Source organism: Homo sapiens, chromosome 8 (assembly GCF_000001405.40).
Source record: "Homo sapiens chromosome 8, GRCh38.p14 Primary Assembly".
Taxonomy (NCBI): Eukaryota; Metazoa; Chordata; class Mammalia; order Primates; family Hominidae; genus Homo; species Homo sapiens.
The window spans coordinates 99,644,548-99,667,503 of NC_000008.11; the positions used below are offsets into that span (position 1 = coordinate 99,644,548).

Below are 22,956 nucleotides of genomic sequence, written 5' to 3' on the forward strand. Positions count from 1 at the left end.
ATGGGCTAGATTTAATATAGGGGTGGGGGGTAAATGTAGGAGGAAAAAGGCTCACATACTTTCTAAGGAGCATTTTCTGCATAATATTCTCATGGATGCCTTTCCCTACACAGAATGCATCTACTTGAACATTTATATTATCTCAGTAGTATGACTCCTGGTTAGTAATAAGCAAAAGTTATCAATATGCATGATAATATTTCTTAAAAATGAACTTAGTGATCTAGGGAAATTTTTTTCAGAAGACCCAAAAGGAGGCAAGTAATTAAAATACAATGGCTAAAAATAAAATTCAACTAGCATTTATTGAGTGATCACCCTGTGCCAGGCATTGTCCTAACTGCTTTAACGCATTATCTCATTTCATGCTAATGACAACTCTATGGGAAATGTTCTATCTTAGAGATTAGGAAACTAAGGTTTAGAGAAGTTAAGTAACTTCCCCAAGGTCACAGACCTAGCAATAAACAGAGCTACAATTCAAAGCTAAGAAGTGTTGGACTCCTGAGTCTAGACTCTCAACCTCTATGGGTCCCCTGAAAAGAAGGATCTGAATTGGAGGTTCTCTCAGTCAGCCTCTATTGTCCCACTTCAGACCATGCAAAAGATTCCTGTCTAAGTTTTAACTGATGAATTTTTATGTTAACTGTGTCTGTGATGTGATTACACAGTACTCAGGTATGGAAAACCTGGGTTCAAATTCTGTCACTTATATGTATACCTATATCATTATGCACTTATGGAAATGAAAAGAGATAATTCATGAATAATTCTAAAGTACTTAGCATTGAGCCAGCAGGCCTAGGCCCTCAAAAATGTGTGCTGGTACTATTTTAGCTGTCAATATCATATAGTGAAAAGAATACTTAACTAGGAGGCAGAAAACCTGGGATTTTTATTCATGGCCCTGCCATCAATTAGTAAAGTGATCTTAGGCAGTTTACTCTTTGACTTTCTGTTTTCTTATCTGTAAAATGTGATGATTATAATAGATATCAACAAAGTCCATTCCAGTTCTGAAGTTTCATCATTCTGTAATTTGGAATTCTGTAATTTGGCTTTGGCTTCATGGAGTTGACATCTGTAAGGCTCTGCAGTATCAGGTAGAAATTTATTTTGATTTGTTTTGAAGATGCAGATTTCCTTTGATATTCTAGTGGAGCTCTAATTAGTTTATTCAGAGTTTTAAATATATAAGTTTTATTAAATGTTAATGAAATTATTTTTCAAAAACTGATCTGGAAATGTGTTTTATATTTGTCCACTTGAATGAATTGTCTAAGTCCCATTACCAATTTGGCTATCCAGAAACACTTTATGTAGTACTTTCTTTCCTGAAAAAAGCACTGTTCCATAACTGGTGTTTTCTGGAAGCCCCAAGATAGTAACCTTAAGGATAAGAAAAAAGAGAAAAATATAAATGGCTATAATGCTAACTTTCATGGGGAGGGAAGCAGAGAGAGCAGTAAGTTGGGGGTGGCTAGCTCCATTTCTGCATTCTAAAGTGAAGGAGTCATTGCAGTGTCTTTAAATTGGAGGGACTAAAAGAGATATTACCATGAAGCTAATGTTCTAAGAAAGGTCCAGGAAAAGTTAAAGGCATCATAAGTTAAAAGTGAAAGAAGTAACATGTCATGTGTTTCCACAGTGTTCATATGTTTTCTCTGGATATTAAAATTCTTTTTGGGTGGGCACAGTGTCTCACATTTGTAATCTCAGCACTTTGGGAGGCCAAAGTGGGTGGATCACTTGAGCTAAGGAGTCCAAGACTAGCCTAGACAACATAGTGAGACCCCATCTCTACAAAAAATTACAAAAAATTGTAATTGCCACCAGTTGCAGTGGCATGCACCTGTAGTCTGAGCTATTGAGAAGGCTGAGGTGGGAGGATCACCTGAGCCTGGGAAGTCAAGGCTGCAGTAAACCGAGATTGCATCACTGTACTGCAGCCTGGATGACAGATTGAGACCCTGTCTCAAACACAAAATAATTTATTCTTTTCTATAAGGTAACTCCAGTGGCAACTGGCCAATAGCAATTTTTGCACATATGTATGATTGTATGATTTGGTTTGGATGTTTATCCCCTCCAAATCTCATCTTGAAATGTGACTCTCAGTGTTGAAGGTAAGGCCTAGTGGGAAGTGTTTAGATTATAGGGGCAGATTCCTCATGAATGGTTTAGTACCATCCTTTTAGTGATAAGTAAGTTCTTGCTCTGGGTTCATGAAAGTTGTGGTTGTTTAAAGAATGTGGCGCCTCCCCACTACCTTGCTCCCTCTCTCCCCATGTGATGCGCTGGCTTTCCCCTTTGCTTTCTGCCGTGATCATAGCTTCCTGAGACCTCACTAGAAGCCAAGCAGATGTTAGTGCAGTGTACCGCCTGCAGAGCCATAATCCAAATATATCTTTTTTCTTTGTAAATTACTGTCTCAGGTATTCCTTTATATAATGCAAAAATAGCCTAACATAACACGCATCTCAATAATTGCCCCATTGTCACATTTCAAAAATACCTGTGAGGTTGTTATAGAGATATTGGCTTTCTGGGTTGTTTTGTTTTGAGAGGACAATAACATTTGATTATTAAAAAAAAATCCTAGCACAATGTGGCTTGTCATTGTTTATTGTTTTCTATACAAGTCATAAACCATTATTATATGTGCTCATGTTCCTTTATATAGAAATCATATAAAAAAAGGATTTTGTTTTACTCTTTAAAAAGTTTTCATGGCTGGGCGTGATTGGCTCACTTCTGTAATTCCAGCACATTGGGAGGCCGAGGTGGGCAGATCATCTGAGGTCAGGAGTTCAAGACCAGCCTGGCCAACATGGTTAAACCCCGTCTCTACAAAAATACAAAAATTAGCTGGGCATGATGGTGGGTGCCTGTAATCCCAGGTACTCAGGAGGCTGAGGCGGAAGAATCACTTAAAAAGGAAGAATCACTTGAACCTGGGAGGCAGAGGTTGCAGTGAGCCGAGATCACACCATTGCACTCCAGCCTGGGCGAGAGAGCAAGACTGTAAAAAAAAAAAAAAAAAGGTTTAATAATTTTCAGAAAAGGTAAAATCATAGTTCTTATGTAACTATAAAAAGAATATATGTCAAAGGTTTTATTTAACTAATAATTTATTTATCTCATTAATTTGTAAGAATATCACAAAAAAATTCAGGCACAGGGGACCTACACAGATAACGCTGGTTATCTCAAGAGATTTTTATTCTATAATTCATAAGGGTCTTAAAAATTGTCACTCGATCATGGGCATTATTCATTATTAAAGTATGGCTCTGGGTGATGCTTCTAGAAAGATGGAAATACTTTTGACATTAAATTATGAAGATTTGGTTTAATTTGACATATTCAGGCAACTATAATGAAGAGCCCAAAAGTGAATATTGAAAATCCTTTGAGTGTTGTAGGAATACAGTGTAATATACCAAGGTGACTACTTTAATCAGTCTGGCTTTTAAAATTACATCTTCCCTCCTGTCTTATACAATCAGCTTGACTTATTACTTCAGAAGAACATCTTATTCCTATTGTGCTTTCATTTATACAGCAGACATATTTTGGGAATATTCATTCATTCGCTGAATGTGAGCACTTGCTGTTTATCAGACATGGGCAAGACTCTGAGAAACCAGTAATAAGACTCAGTTTCTGCCTTCAGGCACCTTGCTTCATGTGATAACCATACTTATTAAGATTAATTTTGAAGGTTTAGCAGAATAAAGATCTTCATGCCATGGAGGGTTGTGAAACACTTACATTAATTAAATAAAGCCTATGACCTTTATTTAAGTTCCAGAGAAGCAATTTAGAAAAGCTAGTATCAGTTGTATGTGATGGCTTAAGAAAAACTGTTTAGATACATCTTTAAAGTTATTGATTTTTTATTAGTTGTATATTCAGCTTTAGCTGTGATTCAGAATATTTTTAAATATTTTACTTTATGAATTTGCCTTTTGGCTATATTTCTTTGTAATATATTTTAGTGGTTGCTCTGGGGTTTCCAGTATGCATGTCTAATCATTCACACTCTATTTAGAGGTAATATTTCATCACTTAAAGGAAGATGGGAGAGCTTTACAACTACATAGGTTCCTTTACTGTCTTCCATTTATAATTGTCATAAATATTACATCTATATATTCAAAACCCTACCAGATAAGATTTTAATCTTTGTTTCAGTAATCTTATATATTTTAAAGAACTGAAGAGGGGGAAAGTGGTCTTTTGTATTCCCAGCCATTTACCATGTTCAGTGCTCCTTTATCCCCAGAGCTCCAGGTTTCCCTCTGGTAGATTTTTCTTCAGCATTAGGAACCTCCTTTTGCATTTCTTTTAGAGCAGAGCTGCTAGCAATAAATACTGTTTTCCTTCATCTGCGAGTACCTTTTTTTTTTTTCTCTCATTCCTGAAGGATATTTTTGCTGGATGTAAAATTCTGGGTTGACATGTCTTCTAGCACTTTAGAGATAGTATTTCATGTTCTTCTGTCCCCTGTGGTTTCTGATGAGGAATCCATGTTCATTCCAATTACTGTTTCCATATTTGTAATGTGTTGTTTTTCTCTAGCTGTTTTCAAGACACCTGCTTATCTTTAGTTTTCTGTAGGTTGATTATTGTGTGTCTGGACTTGGTTTCTTTGATTCTATCCTGTGTGGGGTTCTCTGATCTTCTTGACTGTAAATTTATGGGTATATTGTTTTGGTTTTGTTTATCAAATTTGAGAACTTTTGGCCCTTTTTTCTTCAAATAGTCTTTCTGCACCAATCTCTTTCTCTTCTCCTTTTGGAATTCAAGTGTTAAGCTTTTTAATATTGTCCTACAAATCTCTAAGACTCTCATTTTTTTTTCCCCACTCTTCAGATTGGATAATTTCTATTAAATTTTTCACTTCTAAAATTTCCATTTGGTTCTTTTTTGTAGTTCTTATTTATCTGTTAAGAACTTATATTTCAATTCATTTCAGGTGTGTTTACCTTTACCTCATGAAATACAGTTGTAACAGCTGCTTAAAGTCTTAAATGCCTGTGTCACTGCCACCACTGTAACAGTCCCCTCTACATACACACACACACACACACACACACAGACACACACACACATTGGATATTGGGTCCACCCTCAGGGCAAAGCCAGGAGAGAGAGAAAAAAAAAGAAAAGAAAAAGCAACAAGATTTCCCCTACACTCTTAAAACCACAGGGGACTTAATTTCCAGACAATATTCCTGTTGGAGCTTTGGATGTGTCCTTACCTTCACTGTGCACCACAATATAGGGCTCACTCTCGAGTTAAACTTATAAAAGAAGACACAAAACAACATGAACTGGGAAATTCATCACAACGTCGGTTATAGCCACAAATTGGACTTTCCTCTCCAATCTGCATTGGTCTGATTTACTTTTCAGAATTCTCAGGTATTTATTTGCTTTTTGTGTCTTTTACAAGGTTTTTAATTGTAAGCAGCATGAGAGTTAGGCTGCAGTGAGGTTATTCCAGTCTGGGCTGGCACCAGAAATCCTGCCATTTAAAAATAATAATAATGTTTTCTAGTCCATTAGCCAGGACTTGGTTTTCTGGGAAACTTAATAGGGGATTTCCTCTAAAAGTGATACTTTTATATCTTTACATCTTGAGCACAGATCAGCTACATATAGCCTAATCAGTAATTACTGCTCCCAAGGAGTTGTCAGCATTAACTTGATTCTTCCCGTGTCACCAATAAGCACACACTCAGAGGGCAGCAATGGTGTTCTCTCTCTGCATTCCTCAGGGCTTTCCTTTCATATACTATCAAATCAAGTTAGCAGGGGAAAATGCTGTGAGATTCATTGCCCTTCTTGTCAACCTGCCTTCCCCAGCACATGTGACTGATATATACAATTTTAAAATATATATGTATAGTTAAATATATGTGTATACTCTGTAGTGATGTCCCTTATCCATAGGGAACATGTTTCAAGATCCCCAGTGGGGCCTCAAATTGTGGATAGTACTGACCCTTATATGTACTGTTTTTTCCTACACATACATACCTATGATAAAGTTTGATTTATACATTTGGCACAATGAGAGATTGACAACAATAATAAATAACAAAATAATACAATTACAACAATATACTGTAATAAAAGTTATGTGAATGTGGTCTCTCTTTCTCTCTCAAAATATATTTTCAGACCACAGGTAATTGCAGGTAACTGAAACCACAGATAAGGGCAGGGGATTACTGTATAAAATTGGCCCTCAGTATTCATGGGTTCCACATCTGTGGATTCAACCAACCATAGATCAAAAGTATTCCAAACAAAATTGCATCTTTACAGGACATGTACAGACTTTTTTTCTTATTATCCTCTAAACAATACAGCATAACAACTATTTACATAGCACTTATATTGTATTAGGTATTATAAGTATTCTCGAGATGATTTAAAGTATACAGTAGGATATAAATAGGCTATAATGCAAATACCAGGTCATTTTATATCAGGGACTGGGATATCTGTGGAATATGGTATCCACAGGAGGTCTTGGAACCAGTCCCCTGTGAACAACAAGGGATGACTTTAAACATATACATTTAAAAACGTATTTGAGATACTTCCCAGGATAAATAAGTGGAATCTATACCTACATCTAAATCTGTTTTACAAAGCTAAAGCAAAATTAAAAGTATGATAATTATAATTTTGAAAGTCCTATTAATAGAGTATAATTCATATTCTGCATAATTTACTGGTCCTAAATTATGCTGACTGTATCTTTAAGCTATACATAGCAATATGCTTTTCATCCTTAATTTAAAAACATTGTTTAAAAACTAAATTATCAACTTGAATTTTTAATGAATATTAATATTAATAATCTACTTCAAATGATTTTCCAAGTAGATAGTAAGTCTTTGAGTTAACTTCTTTTTAGAAATATTAGACTAATGTGGCAATAGGCTTTTCCATGCCCTTCCCACCTGGAGCAACCTCTAACAGAAATGAGATCTTCTGCCAGCACCTTTATACATAGCAGCTGTATTATTGGCAGTTCTCATTTAAATAAAGATGTATGTAGTTGTTTTTAGCATAATCGTATTAGTTGTGTTTATAAATATTTAAAAATTGGTATTTGTTTTGTTTAAGGTAATGGAGTCCAGATTTGAAATTGCCTCATGTCTTGACTATGCAGCCCAAGGCAGCCTCAAAAAGTCATTTTTCTTCTTGTTTGTTTGGGGCTTTTTTGTTTGTTTTTGAAGAAATGGCTGTGCCATCTGGTCAAATGTGAAGGGATTGAACAGTTCTGAGGGAATTTAACTAACTCCTTAGTGCAATATCTTGTTACCCATTAATGTGTGCTAGGACCTAACAAAGAAACCAACTGAAAACATTTACTTCTGCCATCTTGCAACTTATTTACCTGATTGTATCTTTTCAAACATCAACTAGACTAAAATACAGAAGTTAAAGTTTATTTGAATGTATCATACTGAAAAAGTAGGTCATAGCACACTTCTGTGTAGGATACTGTAATGTTTAAGATAGGTTATCTAATATGGGACAATTTCTGCATTTTGAAGTTTTATAAATGCCAAAGGTCTAATGAAGGGTCAAACTTGAAATATGGAGTCCTATGAGAGCTCAGGATTAGACCTCTCGGTACTAAGTTTTAATCCTGATTCTACTCCTTACAGCTGTGTGACCTTAGGCAAGTTATTTAACCTGTTTATGCCTCAGTTTCCTTGTCTATGATATGAGAATAATACTGGTAGCAGCCTCCTAGTGTTGCTATTAGGATTAAACAATGTATGCGAAGTTCTTAGCTAAGTGTATGGCACAAGGCTCAATGACTATTAATAAATATTGTTGCTTTTGTCATCATTGTTAATATCTTTAAGTGTTTTTTTAAAGTAGTGGTTGTAAATGGTAAAATAATGCATATCATTTCAATGTAATTCTAGCTATTGTGGTTTGAAAATTTTCAGTTACAGTAATTGAGGGTTTTTTTTTTATCCTTTCATGAATAGGACTGTAGAAATGTGCCAAAGACATTTGAGTAAACGAACAGTTGAAAAATCATAAAATGGCTTCTTACACCTCATAAATCATATCTTGATTTCATTTAGTTATTGTGACTTTAAGAAAAAGATTGAATTATATGCCTCTTTAGAATTAAGGTTTTTGTTAATATCCCTGGAAAGGCTTAGAATTAACCTGTGACTTTAATGTCATAATGATCACACTCTGAACATTTATCTGGAAATTTAGCTGCTGTGAACATTGCTTGCTGGCTAATAATATGAAATAAAATTATTACTTTGACAGGAATTAGCAAGAAAGTAGATCTCTTAAATGAGAGGCATTCTAGTGTATCACTCAGAGAGAAAGGTGATGAGAAGGTTAAATAAGAAATGACCCAACCAGCTGAGGGAAATAATATTATATGAGGAAGGGTATTAGAACAGAAATCAGAAATCTTGACTTTTAGCCTTGGTTCTAATGCCAAAGCTCTTTCATGCAAACAGCTAAATTTCTTGGTGCTTTAGTTTTCTAATCTCTAAAATGGTTTGATAATATCTGCTGTTAGTCAATTAATGGTTAAATCTGAGTTTCAAGTGAGGTGATATTTATGAAATTAAGTGGAAATATGAAACATTATTCAAACATAAGTTGGGACTTCAGTGATTATTAGTATTAAAAGGGAAACTTTCATTTTTAGACACGAGGAAAAGATTAGTGCCCTGGCCTTTGTGACTCCCATTGTAATCATCAACATTTACTTAAAACAAATGAAAATGGGGGGAATCATTTAAAGGCAGTGATTAGCTTTAATGTTACAAAACCCAACTTTGCTTAGAGCAGAAAAGAGGTTTACAGTTGGGATTAAGTTGATCTTCCTTGGATATGTGACTTCATTTTTTTTTTTTTTTTTCACTGAATAGCACCTTGTGCTTACTTGTGCTGAATTTTAATCAAATGTTGGCCACATTAGAATTTAATATGAAACAACCAAATTTTAATAAGAAAGAGATCAAGGACAACACAGAGCAGCACATAAAATGAATTAAAAGGAATTAATTGAATTGATATTTCACATATTATCTGCTGGTTATACTTAATATTCATTAAGTATAAAGAATACACTTCCTTCTAGCAAGATATGAAAGACTTGGTTCTAAAAGTAAGAGCAAGTGGACATTGATGGTCAAACATTCCAGCAGCCAATTTAATCCCTTCCTTTTCCTGTTACTATGGACTGCAGACCTGGGGTTTCAAACCAGGAAATCTCTTGCCCTTCCCATCACATCTTACGAGGTGCAGAGTAGGTACAGAATCGCAGAGCATGTGAAATACTGCTTATAGAGTTAGCCAAAGGTCTGGATATCCACAGGGAGATGGTGGCACTTACCTTGCATCCAGAGCAATTTGGAACTGGTTTCTTGGTTGATTTTTGCTGTCCTGACATTGGATGATGATGATGATTATTATTATTATTATTATTATATATATTTTTTTGGGACAGAGTCTTGCTCTGTCACCCAGGCTGGAGTGCAGTGGCGCGATCTCGGCTCACTGCAAGCTCTGCCTCCCGGGTTCACACCATTCTCCTGCCTCAGCCTCCCTAGTAGCTGGGACTATAGGCGCCCGCCACCACGCCCGGCTAATTTTTTGTATTTTTAGTAGAGACGGGGTTTCACTGTGTTAGCAAGGATGATCTCGATCTCCTGACCTTGTGATCCGCCCGCCTCGGCCTTCCAAAGTGCTGGGATTACAGGCGTGAGCCACCACGCCCGGCTGACACTGAATTATTATGATGTTTAATGGATCTAGATTCCTTCACAATTTAACTTGCAGGCTTTATAGAGCCTTCATGGACTACTTTTGCTTTTGTGGCTACATAAGAAAAAGAACAAATTAGCCATTTAAACTATAGATCAAAAAGTAAATATAGAAAATATATTTTCTCCAAGTAAGTATAGAAAAATGTATGAAACTCAGTAAGCTTGTAGCTTGCCTTTTACATGTCCAGTGGTCAAGAAGTGACTGTTCTGATAGTGACCTCTTATTGCAGAGGATTACACTTGAAGCCGTTGAGCATAGCCAAAACCATTCACAACTTTGGCCTCTGGCAGAGGCTGCTTGGGAGCTTTAATAACATCAATTTCATAGATAGCCACAAATAAATGTATCATACTACAAATAAATGTAGCATGATAGGAATTTCCAAAATGCTGTCCTTTAAATTCTCTGTAAGTTCTATTAAGAAACACCTTTATTTGTTCTTGGCTGGGGATAAAAGGATTAAGCCAAAAAAAAAAAAAACTGTCTAGGAACAACTTGTCTCAATGAATTGGGACACAGGAAGGGAGAGTAAGGAATCTCTAAGCACTCACCTGCTACCCTAACTCCTCTTTAGGTGTTTCCTCCTACCCTACTCTAGCTAGCTGCTTGATCATCCTTGAAACAGAAAACTCTTTGAAATAGAAGTTCTGATGTTCACTTGTAAATTATTTTGAAGTCTCATTTCAGTCCCTTCTTTGAATAAAAGTTGATACACCCAGACACCTTTGGAAAAGGAATCAGCACTCTAACTTCTAGTTTAGAAAATGGAAAGCAGTCTATTTTGGCTTGCAGATTATTTACTTCCTTGATACAACACTGAATACATAACGAAGTCCAATTACACTGGATACTTCTAAGTGCTATCTACCAGAGACAAAGAGTTTTGATACTTTTTACAATATGAATAAAGAGCACTGAATCTTAAAAAGCCAAGTGTCATAAAAATCTGTTTATTTCAAAGTAAAATATCTATTATAAAAGGGACCAGAGTGAGACTTTTAGATCAACATCATTTTCCTCTTTATTCTCCCTTCTCTTCTTCGTGTCCATAAACTGCTGTTGTGTTAAGTGCTCTCTTGGCTGTGGTAGGTGCTGCTATTTCGCATTTCACTGGTAGGAAGGCATAGGGAGTCCCGAGGAGGTGGGTTAGGATTGTAGATGGAATCAGTGGGCCCGGTTAGTGATTTGAAGTGACAGCCAGTCTTTGCCTGCTTCCTAGCCTTCCAAACCAAGGTGTCTCCATCCTTCCCATCCTCTGCCCCAGCTGGCCTTGTCAGATGCTTTTCCTCACTGTACTGTCTCCTCCCTGCTTTCAGGTGCTGTTAGGTTCCAAGCATAAAAGGTTAAAAAGAAGAAGAAGAAAAGAAGTGAATTCAATTTCAGAGTTTCATTTTGAGTTGGCTGCACTGAATCATGTTGTATTTTACACAATTCAAGTAGTAACCAAAGACATACTTAACTCTATGAATGTTTGCTAAGGGTTAAAAGAAATAGTGAGCAGCACTTCAAAAGACCACTTTTATCAGATTTACTGGAAGCCCTGCCAAACAATTAAGTGAAATGAAGGGTTTTTTCTGAAGAAGAGCAAACCTACAAACAAAACGAATGCAGTCTTAATCAAGTCTTCATGAAAGTCTTGATTCATCTGGGAACTGAGTTGGGGCTTTCTGAATCTTCTCTTTAGGTATTCCTTATGACATAATATGATGAAATTTGGAGCAGAGGATTGGGATTTTTTGGTTTTGTTTTTCTTTGAGACCTGGTCAACCCAGAAGAAAAACAATTATTACAGCTTTGTCAATACAAATGCCTTATGAAAGTGAAATCGAACTCACTCTGAACCAAATTTATGGCTGTGGGCAGTTTGTCATTTATTCTGACACATTTCCTACCTTCTGTTACTCCTCATAAGATAAGACTTTCTCCTGTTTCTTTGGCATAGGGACAGGAGCGTAAATGTGCTCATCAACATCAGCAGGAATTTATTATTTTTGAGAGATTCCTATGACTTGAATACATCCAGAAGAGGTCTGAAAGAGCTTCCAATATGAAATAGTTATCTGTTTGTCACTCCATTTATATTACATTCATAGGCTCCTTTAATCTTAGTTTATCTGGTACATTCCCCAGTGTGTTGACCCTGAAGAATGTGTAATATGAATCCTATATTGTAGACCTGATGATGGAATTAAGGAGAAGTTAAACTGAGGACAGGACAGGAAGACTAGGAGTCATGCCCCTCATTTTCTAGCCATTAGAGCATAAGGGACTAAAGGGTGACTTTTGAACTTGAGCCGTTTCTCTGGGATTCTGACACACCTTTCTGCTACTACAGCTGCTTTCAGAGTTTCATTTTGAGCTGGCTGCACTGACTCATGTTATATTTTCTATGATTTAAATGATAAACAAAGGCATACTTACCTCTATCAATGTTAATGACTACAGGCATATGCGAAGTAGAGAGTTTAGCAAAAACTGGGAAAAGGGCCACCAGCCCTATCCTGCATTCAATTTTCATTAACCATGCAACCTGTATTTTTCTGGATGTTCCTAATTTCAGTTATTCTGTTTTATCAACCCTGTAAATTCAGGCATACTTTAAAAACCCGTTATATTAATATTTTGTTGGGAAATAGTCATTTTGGATTCCTTGGATGGATTTCCTAGACTTTTACAGTTGCTTTAATTTCTAACTTCTCCTGTGCTTTCTACTATGGCCAGTTGGTTTATTGTGTCTCCTATTAAGTCATCTCCCCCTGTAATTGCCCAGAGTAGACTCCTAAGCTTGGTGCCAGATGGTCAGGTCCTCTAACTTGTGCCAAAAGAGAGGCAACTGCACAAAACCCACTTCACTTACCTTGAAAACTCTTATCTACATTATCAGACTTTGCTATTCCCCCAGTTTATACCTTGAGAGGAGGGCATCAAATACCCACTAAGTGTTTTTTCTTTTTCCCTTTAATTTTTATAAATGCTTGGTAAATAGTGCTATTTTGTCTTTAAGTCCTGAATAACTTATAAGTCAGCATATGTTTAGGATCATCCTAGAGGTGATCATTCAGCAGTACTTTAAAAATTGTGTGTGTGTGTGTGTGTGTGTGTATGCAGATAGATTTTTTACATTTGAATTTACTGAATCTGTGTCCTATTTCATTGTTTTATTCACTGATCAATATATTTTTAAGCTCTTCTCTTTTAGTATATGAGAGTCACACCATTCTCGTTATCAGTAGCATAGTATTCTATGCAGTATTTATGGTGCATTCATAGTTTATTTTATATTTATCTATAGATAGATATTTAGTTTAAATTTTCCCAAATTGTTAATATTTCAAATGATGTTGCAGTCAACTTCTTTGGACATTTACTTATATATTCTTAAGTGTTTCTTTAAGGTACAGTACTAAAGACGGCCTTCCTGATTCCAAGGACATGTACATTTATAATTTTGATAAACTTTCATTGTCAGGCTTCTCCTCTGCTCATGCAAAAATACTGCATGTACACCCTTATCAACCATCCATGGGGGAATTTGTTTCTTCTCCTTCTCCCCCAATATAAGATATTATCAATTTTTTAAATTTATGCTAATCTATGGAAGAAAAATTGTATTTCTTGTTTTAATTTATATATCCCTGATTAAGAATGAAGCTGAGCAGAGTTTTCCTATTTTTCATAAAGCAGTGCTCTCCAGGAGGATTCAACAGCTAAAGGTAAAACCAAAAGCTTAAAAATGCTTTAAGAAACTATAGGAACATATATAATTACCTAGGAATAAATTCATAAAGTAAAAGTTAACAGATTTTTTTTACCATATGTGTTTAAAAAGTATGCGTGCAAAAAGCATCAGAATACAGTTAAATGACTGCCTCTTCACGTGAGGAAGGCTTTGCTAAATAAGGCAAACAAAACACTAATACTCAGAATATATAAGGAGCTCCTACAAATCAGTAAGAAAAAGAACTCAAGAGAAAAATGTGTAAATAAATTCTTTGTAGTTGAGGAATCCTGAATGGCCAATGAATGAAAATGCTTAACCTGCTTGCTTTTTTTCCCCTGTTAACAATATAAAATAACTGTCTTATGTCAACCATATAGATCTTCTTGATTCTCTTAAACAATTATACAGATTATTTATTTATTTATTTATTTAAACATTAATCTGTTGCTGGATATGTAGGTTGTTTTCTATTTTTGCTATGATAATTCTCCAGTATGTTTATTTACACACTTACCTGACTTCTTATTTGGATTAAATTCCTACACATTAATTTCCTAGGTCAAGTGACATACACATTTAAAATCAGTTATGTATTATAAAATACTCTCCAGAAAGGAATTAATGAGAGTGGACCTCTCATCACAAACTACCAATACAGGCATTATCGGGTGTTGTTTTTTTTGTTCTTGTTGTTGTTGTTTTTGTTTTTGTTTTTATTTGAGACAGGATCACACTCTGTAGCTCAGGCTGGCGTGCAGTGGCACAATCACGGCTCACTGCAGCCTTAACCTCCCAGGCTCAGGTGATCCTCCCACATTATCCTCTCAAGTAGCTGCTACTATGGGGACTACAGGCATGGCAGGTGCCACCACGCCCAGCTAAATTTTTTTGTATTTTTTTTGTAGAGCTGGGGTTTCACCATGTCACCCAGGCTGATCTCAAACTCCTGGGTTCAAGCAATATGCTCACCTCGGCCTTCCAAAGTGCTAGGATTGCAGACCCGTTGTCAGTTTTTTTAGTCTTAGCCTATCTGATAGGTGAAAATTTCTATCTTATTTGAAGATTTGTTTCTTTAATTATTAAGATTTAGTATATTTTAATGTTTGTATTTTTAAAATGTTTATATGCCATTTGCTTTTATTGTTTTGTTTAGTAATTTTCATTTATTGCTTATTCTATCCTCCACTGGTTTTTCTGTTGGTACCTATATTGAATATGTGAACTCTTTATATATTAATGGTATCCCTTTTCTTTTACTGTCACATATGTTACAATTTCATCTTTTCTGTCATTTGACTTTTTATTCTGTTCATGGTGTTCTTTCACAAAAGTTTTGTGTGGTCATATATGTCAGCCCTTATGTTTTTTAGTTTTGGTGTCTTATTGTTATTATTGTTGATATACAATAGGATAGTTAATGCACGTTACCTCAGTATACATTATTTTGCTACTTGGAATCTATTTCTAGAAAAATGTAGAAAGTTGATTAAATATGCCACAAGGATAACCATTCTCAGCGCCATGTAAGTTTGAATATGCAGTTACTCTAACTTGTTTTACTTATCCTAAGTCTTACTTGTCAGTTTTTTATACATCATATTAACATTTCTACATCAATTTAATCATCTCTGTTCATTATTTTGTTATTTATATCACTTAAGATCTGTGTTTTCTCTATTAGATCACTGTTTTATCTCCACATTGTATTCTCTTCAAAATGAAGAGTTATGTCTCCTTGTTTAGATCTATCACGGTACCACTTACCTGATAATAACCACTTTTGATGATAGCTGTGGTGGTGGGACCCAAAATAGATGCCCAGGTCCTAGCAGGTTACATAGTTCCTACAAACTGGTTGTAGATCCTACCAGCAACAGACTTTTTAATCATCCTTTCACCAGACTTGACCATTATATTTAAAAGAGAGAATAGTACAGTGTTACTATGAAATGGATCTACTATGCATATTCTCACTGCTTTAAAAATCACTGATGATATAAAAAGAGAAGACTGCACTAGCTTAGTGTTTGATCTTGACCATATAGATCTAACGTCATGATCAATTGCTTTCAGCATTTTCTTTGAAATCACATAAGGTTCATATGTGCCAAATTTCATAAGGATCACATGATAAGGTCAAGAAATACAAATTCCAAGGCAGAATTTATATGCCCACTTCACATATGACAGCAATACTAAATAACCATATGTTGAATATAATACACTGTATGTAAATACTATTCTTGAAAGCAATCCAATCAATAAAACCTAAAATAAATAATACTTTAATAACACATTTCAAATAGACTGAAAATGGAATAGATGGACTCTATGGCAAGAACATCCCTATAAAACTGACATTCAGAGGCCATTAAAACACAGAGAGTAAAACAATCATGAAACTAAAGAAAAACTGTGAATATTTAGAAGTTTTTTAAAGCCTACTACACTGTATGCCAAGATACAGCAGTCGTTTTTATTTAAAGAGCTATTTCAATAAAAGCTGTGGATTCCTAAGTATTAAAAAGCAAATTAAGTTTACCACAACCAATAGCCAAAAATACTTTTTAAAAAATATACAATATTACCCAGAAAATTTTAAAAATACATAGTATTAAACAGAAAAAAAGTCTAAACAGAAAAAAAGTCAAAACAGAAAAAGCTCATTTTCATTATAATTAGGATTATTAAGAGACTGACCAATTTTATCAATTTAAAGAAGGTTGCAGGAAAGCTACTGAGGTTAACTTCAAAGATCTAGAAGTAAAAAGTGATTGTAATGTCAGTAAAACTCTTAAAACAGATCAAATAGCCCCTAAGTAGTACTAATCTACTGTATCTTTGAAAATGTATATGCTTTTTTTTAAAGCTGACAAGATTGTCCTTTTTTCTTTGTTTTTAATATCACATTTTAAAAAATATCCAACCATTAAACTGTAAACAGCAGCTCAGAATACATAAACTTTACCTTCCCTCATTTGTGATATGAATTCAGATTTGAACATTTTTTTCCTCTTTGTTCTGGAAAACATGGTTTTGTCATCCCACATTGTACAGTGATAGTTTATCTTTTTCAGCGCGAGTGCTTGTTTACTGTATGTGCACAAACAAATGAAACAATGAAGCTTGCAAACAGTTATTTAACCAGTTTTTCTCTCATTTATTAACTCAAACTCATATATCAAAATGAGATATTTGTGATGTAACTGATGTTTTTAATTTCAATTTTGTCACTTTAGATCCTGGGAAGACTCTGCCTGAAGCCCTTGATTATTGCACTGTTTGGCTACAGACAGTGCCTGGAGAAATAGACAGCAAAAGTGGTATTCCACCTTCCTTTATAACACTACAGATTAAAGACTTTCTGAATGGACCAGGTAAGAAAGTCATAAAATTTACATGTGTGTACATTTTTTATGTGAATATATTAGCATGTATATAGGATCTGTTAGTAATCTTGACATTCCGTGCAAAAAATGAATAGTTCATTTTTTCCCAGAGGTGTATGCTTTTCAGGCTGCCCATTTTAGAGATCAAAAGGCAAATATAAATATGCATTAAGAATTACCTTCAGTCTGACAAAAAGGTAGTTATCAATTAAAGAATAGTTGACTGGAAGCCAAAGCCCCAATATTTTATTTCTACCTTTCCTATTAATTAACTGTATGATCTTAGGTGATTGATCTAATCTTCTATACTTCAGTTTTCTTACCTGTATATGAAGAGGATAGACTAGATGGATGAATGGATAGGAAACATGATATATATATACATAAGATAGTATACATAGATAGATTAGATTTGATAGTTAAATGTACCTGTTTCACATGCTTAGCAAAGTGCTTGAAACATAGTAATTACTCAGTTTTAGATAGATACAGATATCAAAAATTTTTGAGAGCTAATTATGTCCCAGGCACTATGCATTTTAGGAGTATGTACTATAGTTATTCTTATTTTATGAATAAGGAAGCTAAGACTTAGAAAAGTGAAGTAAATTGCCTAAGGTCATAGTGACAGAGGAGCCATTCAAACCTAAGTCTTTATGACTCCAAAGACCAGAGCTTAACTTCTGTACTACACTAATTTGGGCATAACTAAAGTTTTTTTCTTTATTCCTCGATCTTCCTCCTCTGTCTTTTCTTCCTTCATCTCATGTTCTTCCCCCTCTTCTGTTATTTCTCCCTCACTTCCGTATAGTCTTAGCTATTTATTTAACAAAAATTATTACATTTCACTTTTTGTTTTGTTATTTTGTAGTTACAGTGCTTCAGAGTGTTACCCATGGAATGAGTATTAGTTTCTTCCTTAAGAATTTTATTTAATTTTATTTATTTATTTATTTATTTTTTGAGACCATCTTGCTCTGTTACCCAAGCCAAAGTACAGTCGTGCAATCATAGCTCCCTGTAGCCTCAATCTCCTGGGCTCCAGCAATTCTCCTGCTTCAGCCTCCCAAGTAGCTGGGACTACAGGTGTGTGCCACCACGCCCAACTAGTTTTTTTTATTTTTAGTAGAGATGAGGTCTCGCTATGTTGCCCAGGCTGGTCCTGAACTCCTAAACTCAAGCAATCCGCCTGCCTCAGCTTCCTAACGTGCTGGGATTACAGGTGTGAACCACTGCTCCTGGCCATTAAGAATTTAAAATAGGCTGGGCATGGTGGCTCACACCTGTAATCCCAGCATTTTGGGAGGCTAAGATAGGCAGATCACTTGAGACCAAGAATTCCACACCAGCCTAGCCAACATGGTGAAACCCTGTCTCTACTAAAAATAACAATAAAAATAAAAAATTAGCTGGCCATGGTGGCACGTACCTGTAGTTCCAGCTACTCTGGAGGCTGAGGCACAAGAATTGCTTGAACTGGGAGGCAAAGGTTGCAGTGAGATGAGATCACGCCACTGCGCTCCAGCTTGGGCAACAGAGCAAGACTCTGTCTCAAAAAAAAAGAAAAGAATTTAAAGCAATGATTTTACAACTGTCTTAAGATCTCTAGCAATACCCCGCAAGGCATGAATTTTAAGGAAGGAAAAATATTTATATATAGACTTTGTTGAGTACATGTGTTGTGGCGTGCTAGTGTACTTATGATCCATACTACAGATGGAGAAAGCCAGTCATGGATTAAACAGAGACTGAAACCATCTCCACTGACTTTGTCACTGGGGACGAATTCTTCTTCAGCATGTTTTTCTAGTGCTGGGATTGTAAAGGTGTAGAAGTATGAAGAACTATTTCTAATCTTGATAAACTCTAGATATGGTTTTAAATATATGAAGGAAAGCAAGAAACTGAAGGATAAGCAAGTCATTAAAGTGTAGGAAGAAGCCTTTGGAGTGAGGTAATAGACTGAAGAAGGTGAGTGCTAGTATTTGGTTAGTAAGCATGAAGTACCATATTTCATTCCATCTAAGCCACTAGCAATTGTAAAAAAACATTCTATATGCCACTAAAAATGAAAAAAACATATGCTCTTTACACTGTGATACAGGGCCTTTTTATTACATCAGTTTGAAGACACTTCCTGATTTCAGAGTTGTTCACACATGAAAGACTGAACACAATAGAATAGATGCAATAGGGTAAGAACACGTAATTAGTTCATGGAAGAGTGACAGGGGAAACTTGGATTTACTTATTTCTCAGTTTTAGTTTCACATTCGTTTTGTTTTTAGGCACACTTTGCTCATTTTGGCTAGAAAATTATCTTGTAGTTTACATTTGATTGATTTGTTTGTAAAACAATGGAATTTGAAAGTTGATGGTAAATTAGATACAATATTTTCAAGGCAACCAAATCAATTGAATTTTAAGAGAAATGCCAATGAATAAATGAAAAATTATGTATTTACAATTCTGGCATTTAACATGACTCAGTATTAGAAATGTGATTTTTTTTTTTTTTTTTGAGATGGAGTCTCATTCTATCACCCAGGCTGGAGTGCAGTGGTGTGATCTTGGCTCACTGCAACCTCTGTCTCCCAGGTTCAAGCGATTCTCCTGCCTCAGCCTCCTGAGTAGCTGGGACTACAGGCACGCACCATCACACCCGGCTAATTTTTGTATTTTTAGTAGAGGTTGGGTTTCAACATACTGGCCAGGCTGGTCTCTAACTCCTGACCACATGATCCGCCCACCTTGGCCTCCCAAAGTGCTGGGATTACAGGCATGAGCCACCGTGCCCAGCCAGAAATGTACTTTTTTTTTTTTTTAATCATACTTTAAGTTTTAGGGTACATTTGCACAACATGCAGGTTTGTTACATATGTATACATGTGCCGTGTTGGTGTGCTGCACCCATTAACTCGTCATTTAACATTAGATATATCTCCTAATGCTATCCCTCCCCCTGACCCCCACCCCACAACAGTCCCCGGTGTGTGATGTTCCCCTTCCTGTGTCTATGTGTTCTCACTGTTCAATTCCCACCTGTGAGTGAGAACATGCGGTGTTTGGGTTTTTCTCCTTGTGATAGTTTGCTGAGAATGATGTTTTCCAGTTTCATCCTTGTCCCTACAAAGGACATGAACTCATCCTTTTTTATGGCTGCATAGTATTCCATGGTGTATATGTGCCACATTTTCTTAATCCAGTCTATCGTTGTTGGACATTCAGGTTGGTTTCAAGTCTTTGCTATTGTGAATAGTGCCGCAATAAACATACGTGTGCATGTGTCTTTATAGCAGCATGATTTATAATCCTTTGGGTATATACCCAGTAATGGGATGGCTGGGTCAAATGGTATTTCTAGTTCTAGATCCCTGAGAAATCGCCACACTGACTTCCACAATGGTTTAACTAGTTTACAGTCCTGCCAACAGTGTAAAACTGTTCCTATTTCTCCACATCCTCTCCAGCACCTGTTGTTTCTTGACTTTTTAATGATCACCATTCTAACTGGTGTGGGATGGTATCTCATTGCGGTTTTGATTTGCATTTCTCTGATGGCCAATGATGATGAGCATTTTTTCATGTGTTTTTTGGCTACATAAATGTCTTCTTTTGAGAAGTGTCTGTTCATATCCTTCGCCCACTGTTTGATGGGGTTGTTTGTTTTTTTCTTATAAATTTGTTTGAGTTCATTGTAGATTCTGGATATTAGCCCTTTGTCAGATGAGTAGGTTGCAAAAATTTTCTCCCATTCTGTAGGTTGCCTGTTCACTCTGATGGTAGTTTCTTTTGTTGTGCAGAAGCTCTTTAGTTTAATTAGATCCCATTTGTCAATTTTGGCTTTTGTTGCCATTGCTTTTGGTGTTTTAGACATGAAGTCCTTGCCCATGCCTATGTCCTGAATGGTATTGCCTAGGTTTTCTTCTAGGGTTTTTATGGTTTTAGATCTAACATTTAAGTCTTTAATCCATCTTGAATTAATTTTTGTATAAGGTGTAAGGAAGGGATTGAGTTTCAGCTTTCCACATATGGCTAGCCAGTTTTCCCAGCACCATTTATTAAATAGGGAATCCTTTCCCCATTGCTTGTTTTTGTCAGGTTTTTCAAAGATCAGATAGTTGTAGATATGCAGCATTATTTCTGAGGGCTCTGTTCTGTTCCATTGGTCTATAGCTCTGTTTTGGTACCAGTACCATGCTGTTTTGGTTACTATAGCCTTGTAGTATAGTTTGAAGTCAGGTAGCGTGATGCCTCCAGCTTCGTTCTTTTGGCTTAGGATTGACTTGGCGATGCGGGCTCTTTTTTGGTTCCATATGAACTTTAAAGTAGTTTTTTCCAATTCTGTGAGGAAAGTCATTGGTAGCTTGATGGGGATGGCATTAAATCTATAAATTACCTTGGGCAGTATGGCCATTTTCACGATATTGATTCTTCCTACCCATGAGCATGGAATGTTCTTCCATTTGTTTGTATCCTCTTTTATTTCATTGAGCAGTGGTTTGTAGTTCTCCTTGAAGAGGTCCTTCACATCCCTTTAAGTTGGATTCCTAGGTATTTTATTCTCTTTGAAGCAATTGTGAATGGGAGTTCACTCATGATTTGGCTGTCTGTTATTGGTGTATAAGAATGCTTGTGATTTTTGCACATTGATTTTGTATCCTGAAACTTTGCTGAAGTTGCTTATCAGCTTGAGGAGATTCACAGCCGAATTCTACCAGAGGTACAAGGAGGAGCTGGTACCATTCCTTCTGAAACTATTCCAATCAGTAGAAAAACAGGGAATCCTCCGTAACTCATTTTATGAGGCCAGCATCATCCTGATACCAAAGCCTGGCAGAGACACAACCAAAAGAGAGAATTTTACACCAATATCCTTGATGAACATCGATGCAAAAATCCTCAATAAAATACTGGCAAACCGAATCCAGCAGCACATCAAAAAGCTTATCCACCATGATCAAGTGGGCTTCATCCCTGGGATGCAAGGTTGGTTCAACATACACAAATCAATAAATGTTATCCAGCATATAAACAGAACCAAAGACAAAAACCACATGATTATCTCAATAGATGCAGAAAAGGCCTTTGACAAAATTCAACAACCCTTCATGCTAAAAACTCTCAATAAATTAGGTATTGATGGGTCATATCTCAAAATAATAAGAGCTATCTATGATAAATCCACAGCCAATATCATACTGAATGGGCAAAAACTGGAAGCATTCCCTTTGAAAACGGACACAAGACACGGATGCCCCCTCTTACCACTCCTATTCAACATAGTGTTGGAAGTTCTGGCCAGGGCAATCAGGCAGGAGAAGGAAATAAAGGGTATTCAATTAGGAAAAGAGGAAGTCAAATTGTCCCTGTTTGCAGATGACATGATTGTATATCTAGAAAACCCCATCGTCTCAGCCCAGAAATGTACTTTTTACAGGAGCTGTACTTTTGTGTTTCTTAAGATACTTTTCAAAGTTAGGAATTAAATATATATAATTTCTGATTTTATGTCCATGCTGTAATAGTGATAATATATTTAGAGATTTAAACTTTTAAGTAAATGAATTGAAATAGTTATTTTACAGCAGCACTTCTCAAACTTGATTTTGCATTTGAAGCTTCCCTGGGGAGTTTGTTAAAATGCAAATGGTGATTTAATAGTTCTAGAAGGTAGGGCTTGAAAGTCATGTCTAAAAAGCTCCCAGATGAAGTAGATGCTGTTGGTCTGGGACTGTACTTTTTGTAGCAAGTTTTATATGGCTCTTATCAAACTTCTTTTTAAAAAATTATACATGACTTATCATATATGATTTTTGTTTTTAGTATCAGTCACAGTCTTTGAGAGCCAAACCACAGATATTTTGGGGAACAGGACAGGGTAATGATAAAGAAAGATGAATGGTTTTTAGAATGGTGCTTTGATTATGGAAAATCAAATATAATATCCAATGAATGATTTAAGTTCTTCAAAGTCTAAAACATTTTAAACAAAAGTAC

General features: G+C 35.7%; 1 protein-coding gene and 1 long non-coding RNA gene across 3 annotated transcripts in view; one reads left to right on the forward strand and one right to left on the reverse strand.

Annotated features, from left to right (window-relative positions):
* The window catches only part of VPS13B (vacuolar protein sorting 13 homolog B), an 864,307-nt gene that overhangs the window by 631,274 nt on the left and 210,077 nt on the right, over positions 1-22,956 (forward strand). For both annotated transcript variants that reach the window (NM_152564.5, NM_017890.5), the window contains exon 35: positions 16,807-16,944. In NM_152564.5, the coding sequence (NP_689777.3) occupies positions 16,807-16,944 (138 nt within the window). The remainder of the gene's footprint in view (positions 1-16,806; positions 16,945-22,956) is intronic.
* Positions 11,026-22,956, reverse strand: part of LOC124901989 (uncharacterized) — a 34,027-nt gene continuing 22,096 nt past the window's right edge. Inside the window, exon 3 of the long non-coding RNA XR_007061026.1 lies at positions 11,026-11,165. This is a non-coding gene — a long non-coding RNA (uncharacterized LOC124901989). The remainder of the gene's footprint in view (positions 11,166-22,956) is intronic.